The sequence below is a fragment of the Homo sapiens genome, chromosome X, assembly GCF_000001405.40.
Source record: "Homo sapiens chromosome X, GRCh38.p14 Primary Assembly".
Classification (NCBI taxonomy): domain Eukaryota; kingdom Metazoa; phylum Chordata; class Mammalia; order Primates; family Hominidae; genus Homo; species Homo sapiens.
Genome location: NC_000023.11, coordinates 31,184,646 through 31,198,195, shown reverse-complemented (window position 1 = coordinate 31,198,195; position 13,550 = coordinate 31,184,646). Strand labels below are relative to the sequence as shown.

The 13,550-nt window shown below is 39.2% G+C and overlaps 1 protein-coding gene across 26 annotated transcripts in view; it reads left to right on the top strand.

The window, feature by feature from the left end:
- DMD (dystrophin) overlaps window positions 1-13,550 on the top strand; it is a 2,220,167-nt gene that overhangs the window by 2,141,193 nt on the left and 65,424 nt on the right. The window contains exon 68 of one of the 26 annotated variants that reach the window (XM_011545468.3): window positions 2,551-3,101. Coding sequence (XP_011543770.1) covers window positions 2,551-2,631 — 81 coding nt within the window. The 3' untranslated portion in view covers window positions 2,632-3,101. 26 annotated transcript variants of the gene reach the window in all.

The following is a 13,550-nucleotide window of genomic DNA, read 5'->3' as shown; positions in this document are numbered from 1 at the left end:
TAGTGGCCTTATTGTGCTACCAAACACTAGATCATATTTCTTCTTACTGTATTTTTGTACCCATTAACCATCCCTTTTTTATCCCCCGATCTTCACTACATTTCCCAGACTCTGGTAGTCATGATTTTACTCTATCTCCATGAGTTCAATTTTTTTTTTTTTTTTTTTTTTTAGCTCCCACACATGAGTGAGAACATGGGATACTTGTCTTTCTGTGTGTGGCTGATCTCAACATAACGTCTTCCGGTTCCGTACATGTTGCTGCAAATAATGGGATTTCATTTTTTATGGCTGAATAATATTCCATTATGTGTTTATAGTACATTTTCTTTATGCATTCATCCACTGATGGGCGCTTAGGTTGATTCTATATCTTGGCTATTGTGAACAATGCTGCAGTCAACATGGGAGTGCAGATATCTTTTTGTGGTTTCGATTTTGTAGTATCTTCTTCAGTAAACATTTTAAGGACTTTATTGTTTAGATAACGTCAAGTATACCAACTTTATATTCAATATGCTTCACCTATGAGAGCTGGAGTGTCAAAATCTGTTTATTTTACATCTGTTTTCTGCCTCCTGTTGTACTTAGTATTCCAAATGAGTAAGTTGCTTTTCCATCTATCTTCTGAATTTCTCTATTTGTATGACAAAAATGAATACCATCTATGCACAGTTGTTGTAATAATGTAGAATGATATGAAAATGAGAATAAATTACAGTCTCAACTGTTGAGAACAAGTATTTCTCTGTGTTAGAAACATTCCCAATTCTACTCTTTTAGTTATTTTGAAATATACAATGTATTATTGTTGCCATGCATGGTGGCATGCCCCTGTAGTCCCAGCTACTCAGGAGACTGAGGTGGGAGGATCAGTAACACATAAATGAGAAAGCATTCCAGAATATCTGGAGAAGTGACTGGCAGAGTGGTTAAGTGCATAGGCTTTGAAACCGAACTGTGCCTGAGTCCAAATCTGAGCTCTGCTATTTGCTGGCTGTGTGACTGTGGACACATTTCTTAACCTTCCTGGCCCCTGAACTCCTGGAGGTGATTGTGAGGATTAAATGAACCAATAGAAGCAAAGCACTTAAGAGCTGTAGTGGATACATAGAAGGTGCCCAGTGAATGTTAGCTATGATTATCTAAAGTGTGTTGTGGCATGAAAATATCCTGCCAATGTTAACAGTTGCTTTTATCTATAACAAAACATCATCTGTGGATTGCATTTTAGAGATTCTGGAGATTCTGTTTCTCTGCAAATGTTAAAATGCCATATCAGGAGACTTTTGGCTGGTTAGACAGCATTCCCCGGGTCAACTGATTACTTTTTTTTTTTTTTTTTTTTTTTTTTTTTTTTTTTTTTTTTTTTTTTTGAGACAGAGTCTCGCTCTGTTGCCAGGCTGGAGTCCAGTGGTGCCATCTCGGCACACTGCAACCTCCACCTCCCAGGTTCAAGTGATTCTCCTGCCTCAGCCTCCCAAGTAGCTGGGACTACAGGCACGTGCCACCACGCCCAGCTAATTTTTGTATTTTTAATAGAGAAGGTTTCACCATGTTGGCCAGGATGGTCTCAATCTCTTGACCTTGTGATCCGCCCACCTCAGCCTCCCAAAGTGCTGGGATTACAGGCATGAGCCATCACACCTGGCCGATTCCATTTTATTAATAGATTTTCCATCCTGAAAGTAACTCCTAAAAACCCTCCTTCACTTAGGTTTCCTTTGGCTTTTTGTGTATTAATCAGACTGTGGGCCCTTTGGTTCCATAGACATTCCTTTTACACCCCTTTTGGACGGATGAATACTCACTAGTAACTAAGTAATTAGTAAGAGTTACTACAATTTGGTATTTATAAAGAGGTGGCCTTTCCCAGAATTGAAGGTAGACCCTAATAGTCCAATCAGCCTTCCATAGAGATAGCTGGCTGCCATGAAAAGCTGAGAGATATCACCGACCTCTTACTGGGCCTGCTCATGAACAGTTAGTTAAAATTCCTGCAATTTTCAGAAAAGACCCTTATCAGAGTATTATCAGTATTGTCTTAAGTTTAATATTGGTTTCCAGTTGTTATTTTTAAAAATTTTAAGCTACCGTGGGTTAAGCTTTATGATGATCTGTTTAAGTGGTTTGTTTGATTAACTTCTCTATTGGAGTAATGGATGTTTTCTTCACCAGAATTTTGAAGATAGGTTTGTGTTGTAGTTGAAACCTGTTTTGTTTATACACTTACTGCTAAGGAAAAGCACATGTCATTTTGTTTTCCATCTTCATCCTTCTAAAGTAGCACTTCATTGTTATGACCAAATCTTTCTTTCTTCCTTCCTTCCTCTCACCCTGTCTTTTCCTTCCTTCCTTCCTGCCCTCCCTCCCGCCTCTCTTCCTTTCCTCTCCTCTCCTTTCCTTTCTTTCTTTCTTTTCTCTTTTCTTTCGTTCTCTCTCTCTCCCTCCCTCCCTCTCTCTGTCCCCTTCTCCTTCCCTCCTTCCTTCCTTTCTTCCTTCCATTTCTATCACCCCTAAAATTCCATCATGCTGTATCATCTCACTAAGTCCCAATCTCTGGAAACCACAGCTCTGTTTTCTGTTCCTGTAATTTTGCCTTTTCCTGAACTGGATTTTAAAGGATTGTAGGAGGCAGTAGTGGAAGAGCTAACTTTATATCTTGTTCTTTTACATAATGCGCCCTGATCCACACTTGGGAAAGTATATTCCATGGTACCTATAGACAGATATATGTGCTTTACCATGTATATGTGAAACTTTTCTAATTTAACTTTCCTGTTAAATTAGAACTCGGTAGCATAAATTAATACTGTTGAGTATACTTAGGGATTTGCATAGATTTAAAATTGTGCATATGTTCCCTAGGGCCATGGCGTTAATTGGTTTATTAGTCAGGTGGAGTGCAGAGCCTGAGGTCAGGACAGTTGTCCTTGAACATGGAAATGAAGAGTGGATAATCACCATGTGTTATTGTTTGGGCTGATTTTATCTTTAATGGGTGATTCAGAGTCCTGATTAATATTTAGAGCAGTGACTGCTGGCCTCCTACCTGCTCATTATCTTCAGAACTTTAAATAAAATACTTGATTTCTACCCAAGATGGTAGTTATGGGAAGCCTTTTACTTCTTCTTGTCTCACAAAGACAACTCTTGACCTCTCAATCCTTAAACAAAAAGTTCTGCTTCTGCGCATGTGGGGACTCTTAAACTCATTTTCATGCCTGGAGATTCACATTTAGGGATCTAGGAAAAGCACATCTAGGCAGAGTCGATGAGGAGATGCTTTAAGAACCGTGACAAGGACAGGAAGGAAATCAATTTTGCGTTAGGTTTGTATTTTTAGAGAAAACGAATCCTGGGGAACTTTTCACACTCATTACTATTGACATTAATACCATTGTCCTGTCCCTTTCACAGTTACTAAAATCACTCTTGCCCACCCTCCTGCCTTGCCCACAACCTATTCCCATGAAGGGGTGACTTGGGAGAAATAACGGTTTCCAACCAACGTTTTATTTTGGAAACATTTCAAGCACAAAGAGTAGTTGAAAGGATAGTCTAAAGAACACTCATCTGTGTCATACATCTGTTCAATCCATGGTTGCTTTTCGCTCTACTTACCTCCTCCACCCTCTCAGCTCTGTTTATGTATGTGTCTGTCTGTGTACATACACACACAAACACATTTTCCCCTATGCCATTTAAAAGTAAAGGAGCATCACAACATAAACCCCTAAACACTTCACCATACACCATTTTCTTAAAGGATGACATTCTCTAACATAACTGCAATGCTATCGTTACACACAAATTTAACAGCAATCCAGCAATACCCTCTGATATGCAGTCCACACTGAACTTTCCCCAGTGCCCCAGAATTGTTCCTTATAGCCACTGTTTTCTTCCAGCATCTAGTCAAGGTTTTTGTCTGTCATGTCTCTGTACCTTCATTTAGTTTTGAACAGTCTCCCAGCATTTTGTTTTCCTTTCATGACATTGACTTTTTTGGTAGGGGGACAGAGTCTCGCTCTGTCACCCAGGCTGGAGTGCAGTGGCGCAATCTCGGCTCACTGCAACCTCTGCTTCCCGAGTTCATGTGACTCTCCACCTCAGCCTCAGGAGTAGCTGGGATTACAGGCATGCACCACCACACCCGGCTGATTTTTGTATTTTTAGTAGAGACAGGGTTTCACCACGTTGGCCAGGCTGGTCTTGAACTCCTGACCTCAGGTGATCCACCTGCCTCGGCCTCCCAAAGTACTGGAATTACAGGTATCAGCCACCACGCCGGGCTGACGTTGACATTTTTGAAGAGTTCAGACCAGTTCTCTTGAAGAATGTCCCATACTCTGGGCTTTTCTGATGGTTTCCTTGTGATTAGATTAATGTTAACATTTTTTGGCCAAAAGACGATAAGATGATGCTCTGTACCTACCACTGTATCACAATCTGGAGGAACAAAATAACATTTTGTTCCTATTGGTATCACTAAGAATGTTAAGGTGGTGTCTACAAGATACTTTCCTTGTAAAATATCCTTTTCCCTTTGTAATGAGAAAGTAATTTTTTGATATTTTGACATATTATAATATCCATTCCTTAACCTTTTACCCTATGGTTTTAGCATTTATGGATGATCCTTGTCTAATTCAGTTATAATATTGGTGGTTGCATAATGGTGGCTTTCTAATTCTACCATACTTTCTGCATGTATTAGACCATTTTCTTATGTAAAGAAGAGCTTCTACCTCTCCCCCGTCTATTCATGAATATCACTGTGGACATCCAAGGTGGTTCTGAGTGTACAAAGAATGATATCTCTCTTTACTGAACTGCCATTGGATACTATTTTTGTCTTGGAATTGTTTAAAATGGCAGTGTATGGAATTGAAAGTCCTTTCTCCAGAGAGCCACATAAACAGATGTCTAATAAATACATTTCCATATTAACCAATCCTTTTATGGGAACAACACATTGACATAATTAAAACACGTAACATGAAAACTGTGCTGAATTGAGAAGCTCATAGAGTTTTGTTTCTTTTTTTTCCTTTTTGCCACTTCAATATATATGGACCCGCACCTGTCAGTCCAGGTAGCTCATACATGCCGTAGCATCTAATGGTACGAGGGACATGTAATGCTGAAAAGAAGGGGGAAAGGAGTTGATCAGATGAGATATAAGTATGCATTTATCAGTGTTGTGGGGTATTCACTTGCACCTTCCATTGGCTCTCGCAGCCATGTTATCGGCATATAATTCAGTTGAAGATTTATATTCACCTGGAAATTGTCCTAAGTGGGCCTTGCTTACTTAGCTATCAGACTCTAGTACTTTCAAACAAATTAAAGATTCAAAAGATTTTGGGGATCGCCTTGCTTTTTCCCATAGGAAATCACTTTTGTCCTGTCTTTTTAAGACTATTTTAAGCATATATTTCAGTATTAAAATCGTAGATAATCTTAAGCTGTTTCCTTAACCTCTTTGGGCCTTTTCTTATCTGTAACATAAAGTTAAAACAGGTTATCTCAAAAGTTACTTATCCCTAAGTGTCTTTGATTCTATGCTAAATGTTATAAAGGCCGAAAGGGAAATGGATTATTGTACTTATTTCAAAGCTTGGCCATGATCAGCAAAGTCTTACCTGATCTTCCGGGTAACAACTCTTGTATCAGAGCTATAAGATATAGAAAACAGTCTTGTACATAGAGTGTGGCATTTCACATGAGACCAAGTGTTCTCTGAATGGAAACACACACTAAGAGCAAGATGTGAAAAACCATTGTGTACAACCTCATGTAAATGATCCCTTGCGTCCGTACACTATAGTTTCCTCAGTAACTCAAAGGTAAAACCCAAGTATCTTGTGTCTAAGAGGATCAAAATGTCACCTTCCTTCTGTTTTATTTGTTACATGCAGGTTTTGTATAGTTTTATAGAGTCTTTTTATCACTCATTTGATTTTCATAAAAATTGGGATTGTTTGGAAGAAGAGTCATTAATATTCTTTACAGCTTGTTCTTGTTCCTCCTTTTATGTTCTCTGCTGGTGCAGACTTCTCTCTTATGTAAAATATTCCACTGATGCCCTTGGTAGATTTAGAGGTTGTTAAAGAAATTGTAATAACAGATCAGGGAACAGTCAGGGACTGCCTGTCCTATACTGTCTGACCCTGACTAACCGTTCTCCTTGTAGTTTTAAATCTTTGTGTACAGACTGTAATTCAAAAAACAGTTTTTATAAATTTAAATTCAGCAAATCTTTCCAAATGCTAAGGCTTTTTATAACGAGGGCTAGAAAAGTTGAGTTGTCAGCTATTAATGCCAATACCTATTAACAATGGCAATGACATTGAAATGATTTTTTGGATTTATGAAGGGAACATGTTACTAATGAAAATAGCAAATGAAAATGGCCACTGTATTAGTCCGTTTTCACGCTGCTGATAAAGACATACCTGAGATGGGGCAATTTACAAAAGAGAGAGGGTCATTGGACTTAACAGTTCCACGTGGCTGGGGAGGCCTCACAATCATGGCAGAAGGCAAGGAGGAGCAAGTCACAACTTACCTGGATGGCAGCAGGCAAAAAAAGAGCTTGTGCAGAGAAACTCCCGTTTTTAAAACCATCAGATAGTGTGAGACTCATTCACTATCACGAGAACGGCGCAGGAAAGACCAACCCCCATAAGTCAATCACCTCCCACCAGGCTCCTCCCACGACATGTGGGAATTGTGGGAGTTATAATTCAAGATGAGATTTGGGTGGGGACACAGCCAAACCATATCAGCCACAAAGGAGAGATTACCCTTTTTAAAAATCTGTGGTTTGCCCACAATGTTTTCCATAAATTTACCTTTTTCTGTCAATAAAAATGTTTAGGAATTCTATTTATGGATATGTATGTATTTAATATTTGCATATTTAGTTCTTATTTTTTCTCTAAATGGTTATGACCTGTACTAAGTAAAATCAAAACACACACACACACACACACACATACACATTGTACTAGCAGACCTGCTTTACCTTGCTTGGGATAATTATCTGCCATGATTAAATAAATAAATTTCTGCAACTGTTTATCCTGGAATACACTGCATAGAGTTGTCAGTTTGAGAAGCAACTTGATTTCAAATCTGAGTCTACAATTTTAGCGTGTTTCCTTGTGACTTCTAGTTTGGGGCTTTTAATTTCCCTTTTGCTCTCTCTACCCTCAGTTTATGAACGAGTGTGGCATTTCGGCAGTTGAATAGGCCTATGGTAGCCTCCCAGTTTCTGTGTTGTAGAGGATAGTTGCCGGCTTATTAAATGCCCTTGCAGGACTCTCAGGGAAGTCTGTTGTTTAGTGAATAGTGATGAATCAATGTGGATTTCTTAGTTTTGACAAGTGAACCATATGGTTATGTAAGATGTTAACATTGGGGCAGGGTTTCTCAACCTTGGTGCTACTGATGCTTTGGCCCGAATCATTCTAGTTCTTTGTTGTGGGAAGCTGCCCTGTGTGCTGCTGGATGTTTTGCAGAATCCTGGCCTCTATCTACTAAATGCTAGTAGCACCCCCTCCCCGCCCTCCCCCTCCCCCCCCCCCCCCCCCCCCCGCCCAGTTGTGACAACCAAAAATGTCTCCCGTAAAAGATACCAGGATGAAATCACTTTTTGTCAGTCCCAAACTAACTAGAGCCAGGGCAGCATGAAAGGAGGAGGGTTCATGGTTACATGCCTGAGATAAAGACTGTCTCAAGGACTTTCTAAAATCGCCCCACAAGAAATTCCTCTGTTAGGACTGCAGCAGTGCACGTAATATGCTCTCAAAAGAACATCTGCCCAGTAATGGCATCCCCACTAATAAACTGACACCAGTTCTGGCGTTGAGCATCTGAAACGAACTATGTTTCCAAGCAGCTTATGTAAACTTCTGTTTTTACCAATAAAAGTTTCCCTCTACAGTCTCCTCTTCAGATGCATCTTGGGTTGTAATCCTCATTTCTAATTCCAAAATAAATTTAACATATTTGGCGATGTTTTTCTCTGATGTTTTTTGGTCGACACTCCAAACATTGTTATATTTCCTCTGGGGTACGGCATCATTTCCGGTTGAGAACCACCGACCTAGAGAAAAGCTATCTGCCTGTGCAGTTCCTTTCAAGGGCCCCAAGTGTGAATTTTGTGTATACCTATATTTTAAGCCAGATCATTCTGTACATACCTTCTAAGTCCAGATGAAGTCTGTTAGCCTTTTATGTGTGATACCATCACATAGAAACCAACACAAGGACATTTACTGTAATCGATAAAGGAAATTTTGGACAGTTTGAGAAAGTAACTTATTTTGTCTTCTGCTCTTTATAAAATCTTTACAAGTGTATGTTTTTGCTCTTCAGGATGACTAGGCAGCTTTTTAAAATTCTGACTTCATACAGATTTTATAATCTTCCTTTTATTTCTTGCGATCATATTGCAGTTGAATTCCCACCCACTGTTCAATTCAGCAGATTTTAACAGAGACTCCAGAAGTATAGTTCCTGTCTTTAATTAATCTGCAATTTAGGAAAGAAATTAAGGAGGTATCGTTCTGTATTGTTTCCAGGATGGTGGTTTCTTGTTATCTGAGAATTACTGGGCACAGTCTCTTGCCCAATGTTTACTTCTCTATATAGAGTTGACCCTTGAAAAACATAGATTTGAACTGTGTGGGTCCACTTATAAGTGGATCGTTTTCAACCAAATGCGTATCGAAAATGCAGTACTCAAGAGATGTGAAACCTGCGGATATGCGTTCAGCTGGGCCTACTGTGGGACTTGCGTATGCGTGGATTTTGCTGTATCTCAACAGCAAAATCCCCGTGGGAGTGGGGCTGCGGCGGGCCAGGAAGCAACCCCTAGCATATACTGAGGGATGACTGTACTAATTATTGTAGTTTATTAAGTGTTCACATGGTTTTCACAAACCTCACAATTGAAATGCCAATTGCCTTCTCCTAAAAAATACAATGTACGTGTTCATGGTAGCTGGGATGCAGGGCTTGCTGAGAAATACTTAATTGCATTTCTTCTGTAGCCATGAATTGATTTTATTACCTTGAGAGAAAAATGAGTATTCAGGTGGACCTCCTGGCAGGCGGTTGGCCCTTCAGTGTCCAAGGATTTATAGAAAGCACAACATCAAAGAAATCCAAAAGTTCTTCGGAACCCCAGCAACTCTCCTACCTCCAAACTTGCCATGTAATGCCCTTTTAAACTTATTATATTGATAGGTAAATCGGTTTGCTAGAAATTCCAGATATTGAGAATTCTTTGTCTGTGTACCTTGTTATATTTGTATAAAGGTGATATTTGTATGAAGCCACCCTCCAGTGTGCTGTAACAGAGCAATAGTAATGACAACTGATTCCTTCCCCTAGCTTTTCTGTTATGGATAGTTGCTGGCAGGTGAGGACCAACAGAAAAAGAGGAGAAACCCAACATAATTCCAAACTGTGACCATCATAATGGAAGGAGCTGTGATAGCTTTGCTTTCTGTGTGTGCATGACATAGAAGGGGAAAATGGAGTTATTGCCAAAACAACAGCAAAAGCAAAACAAAGCCAACAAACAAAACAAAACCCAGGGCTAAATGACCTTTCCAAGAGATTTTGCTTGCATGGCTTGAAACTGGTGTTTAGAGATGAGGACAAGGTCACCCTTGATACTGAGAGGGGATTATATCTGAGACTTATATGTATCTCAACAAATAATGGTACTTACAAAGATTATCTCAGTCCAGTGAATGCCATCATACTTATCTTTTGACCTTAATAACTTCCTGCTATTCCAATCTATCCCTATATATTTTTTTCTGGAATGATCGAAATGTAATTTTAGCTGGGTTTAATTCTAGTTCTGTTAGGTCTTTACAGAAGCTTGCCTGGCTTTTAATTCTTTCCTTCTTCATTGCCAGACAAAAGGAGAGGGAATATACCACTAGGATACAGAGTAGTTTGTCATAAAAATGAAAGATTGAAACAGAATGAGAACGTGAATCCCCGTACCTTGTCTTCAGTCTGTCAGTTGGCGTAGGTGAGCAGTTTTAAAAGAGCCAACATGATGGATCTTGCATCTTAGGGGCTAGAAATTTGAGAATGTTCAACCTTTAAGCATAGAAGAATCTATAGTTTTTTGAAAGAGTAGAACATTCTACAGCCTCCCTTGGTAATTCACACTAATGCTTTAACAACTTTCAGCATCAGGAAATTCTTCCATATGAGCTACAGCCTAAATTCTTCATGCTGCTTAAGTCTGTTTCTTCTTGTTCTGTCCTCAGTGGAGAGATCGAACAGCTGGTCACAGGCCCCTATGCGAGAGCCATTCACATAATTGAAAACTGTTATTAAATCGCCCCTTCAGAAGTCACTCTTGCTTGTTCTCTCTCTCTCTCTCTCTCTCTCTCTCTCTCTCTCTCTCTCTCTCTCTCTCTCTCTCTCTCTCTCTCTCTGAGAATCTGGGAAGATTCCAGAGCTGATTAACATGTTGCTTTACTGATGACCTTCTCAGCTTTTAATATGTTAACGTGCTCTAAGAATTTTAAGAGGCAGATATAATGTGCACTGTTTCTTTCATTAATTTGACCTTCTCGTGAAGCATTTTGCTGGACGATTGATCTGCTGGACATACTGGGAAACACTGACTCAGAGATTTTAGTTGAGTAGGAACCGTGTGTGAGCCTACGGTACAGAACAAAAGAAAGTAATCCAGTTACACTGTCTGGAGAAATAGAGGTACATTCTCCGCAATCATATTTGAAGAATAGTTTTCTAAATGACAATGGCAAACTAAGCCGTGTCATATGAAGAAGAAGTAAAAAGAATAGGAATGAAGAGGCATGGACAGATAAGACAGCTCTGGTAAAATATTTAAAGGGCTGTTCAAAGACCAAGAACTTCTGGGTTGCTGGTCAGATGGATAATAATAATGACAATAACAATAGCAAACATGATTCTTGCTATGTGTCAGACACGGTTCCAATTGCCTTTCATTTGCTGACTCACGTAATCATAAAATAACTCTATGAGGTAGGCACTATTAATATTTCCAGTTTGTAGCAGAGAAAAAGTAAGACACAGAGAGATAAAGTTATTTTCCTAAGGTCACACAGCCAGTGAGTGGTGAACTCCAGTGGTTTAACTCTGGAACTTCTATATGCTGTGCTGATGGATTTCAGCTCAATGTGATGCAGCACTTTTGACAGGGGTATCTGGACACAGGTGTTCAGGATCACCTTCTAAGGATGTTTCCCAGCTCTCTCACATGGGTGGTGTAGTGGCTGTAAGCACACACTGGCATGGGTAAGAGTTTGGACTCGATGAATGCTGAGTTTGGACTCAGTGAATCCTGAAAGTCTTACAGCTCTGTGGTGCCATGCCAAAAGGATGAATGGACTTGCATGATCTTTTTCATTTTTAGATTGCATAATTCTTTATAAACTTTTTTTTCCACAAAGTACCTCTGTGATGGAACTCTACACAGAGAAAAGTGCTCAGCAACAGCTTTTTAAAATTTAACTTGTAAGTTCAGGGGTACCTGTCTAGGTTTCTTATGAGGTAAACTTGTGTCATGGGGGTTTGTTGTACAGATTATTTTGTCACCCAAGTATTAAGCCTAATACCCATTAGTTATTTTCCTGATCTTCTCCCTCCTCCCACCCTCCATCCTCTGATAAGCCACAGTGTGTGTTTTTCCCCTCTATCTGCCCATGTGTTCTCATCATTTAACTCCCACTTATAAGTGAAAACATGCAATACTTGGTTTTCTGTTCCTGCATTAGTTTGCTAAGGATAATGGCCTCCAGCTCCATCCATGTTCCTGCAAAGAACATGATCTCATTCTTTTTTCTGGCTCCGGAGTATTCCAGGGTGTATATGTACCACGTTTTCTTTATTCAGTCTTCCATTGGTGGGCATTTAGATTGATTCTAGGTCTTTGGTAAACAGTAGCATTTGATCGGAAGTTTGAACTGATACCATTTTGCAGCTAGGAAATCCAAAGTTAAACAGTTTATTATAGTGTTGCTAAATTTAGAATTAGGGGTAATGACTGGAGTGCTGTTGAGGTGATCAGTGTTATAAGCCAAATGACCTGTCAGTCTAAACCCTCCTGCCTTTCTATCTGAAATGTGGATATGTCCTTTATTAGGAAACCACATTACAAGAGAAGCAACTTGGCTTTGCAGCTCAAATACCCATGACTTGTGTGATACTAAGTATTCCCATGTCATATATTCAACTGAAATTGGCTGTGGAATAAGTAATGCTTCTTGGTTCTTGGCAAAAGCAAAGGAGAATCATCTCTGGAGAAAGCACTTTTATTCTAGGCTCAAGCTTTTATTTATCTCTAGAAAATATTGGTAAGGTCAGTTTAGTACGTGGTAAAAAAAAAAAACAAAAAACATATTAAGCACACAAGAAATCAAGGTGGAAAAAGAAAGAAATCAAGGTGAATGAGAACCAGAAGAAATAGCAAACCATAGAAGCAGACCTACGATAACATCATATTCCAGAATTATTAGACAGATTATTTTCTTAATTGTGTTTATGCAGTTAGAAAAATAAAAAACAACATTGAAAAATATCTACAGGGAACCACAAACCTGAGAAGTTACCTTAAAAATGACCAAGTAGTATTTCTAGATGTCAAAAGTACAATAATCAAAATTTAAAACTGTATGGGTTTACAGCAGACCGGCAAGAGAAATGGATACCCAGACAGTAAGGCAGAAGGAATTAATAAGAATGAAGCACAGAAGGATGTTTTAAAAAGATGTGGGGCAGAGAGGGGGGAACTAGGGAAGTCCTGTTCAGAGAAATATAGATTGAAGAAGAGTAACATTTATGTAACAGAGTTCTGAAAGTAGAATGGAGAGGGAATGGAGAAGAGGCACTATTTGTTGAGAGAATGACGGAGAAGATTCCACAGCTGATTAAAGACTCTAAATCACAGGTTTAAGAAGTCCAGTGAATCCTAAGCAGTCTAAATCAAATCCTAGAAACAGCACAAGATAGAAAACAGATAGATTATCTTTATTTTTTTTATTTTATTTTTATTATACTTTAAGTTTTAGGGTACATGTGCACAATGTGCAGGTTAGTTACATATGTATACATGTGCCATGCTGGTGTGCTGCACCCACTAACTCGTCATCTAGCATTAGGTATATCTCCTAATGCTATCCCTCCCCCCTCCCCCCACCCCACAACAGTCCCCAGAGTGTGATGTTCCCCTTCCTATGTCCATGTGTTCTCATTGTTCCATTCCCACCTATGAGTGAGAACATGCGGTGTTTGGTTTTTTGTCCTTGCGATAGTTTACTGAGAATGATGATTTCCAATTTCATCCATGTCCCTACAAAGGACATGAACTCATCCTTTTTTATGGCTGCATAGTATTCCATGGTGTATATGTGCCACATTTTCTTAATCCAGTCTATCATTGTTGGGCATTTGGGTTGGTTCCAAGTCTTTGCTATTGTGAATAGTGCCGCAATAAACATACGTGTGCATGTGTCTTTATA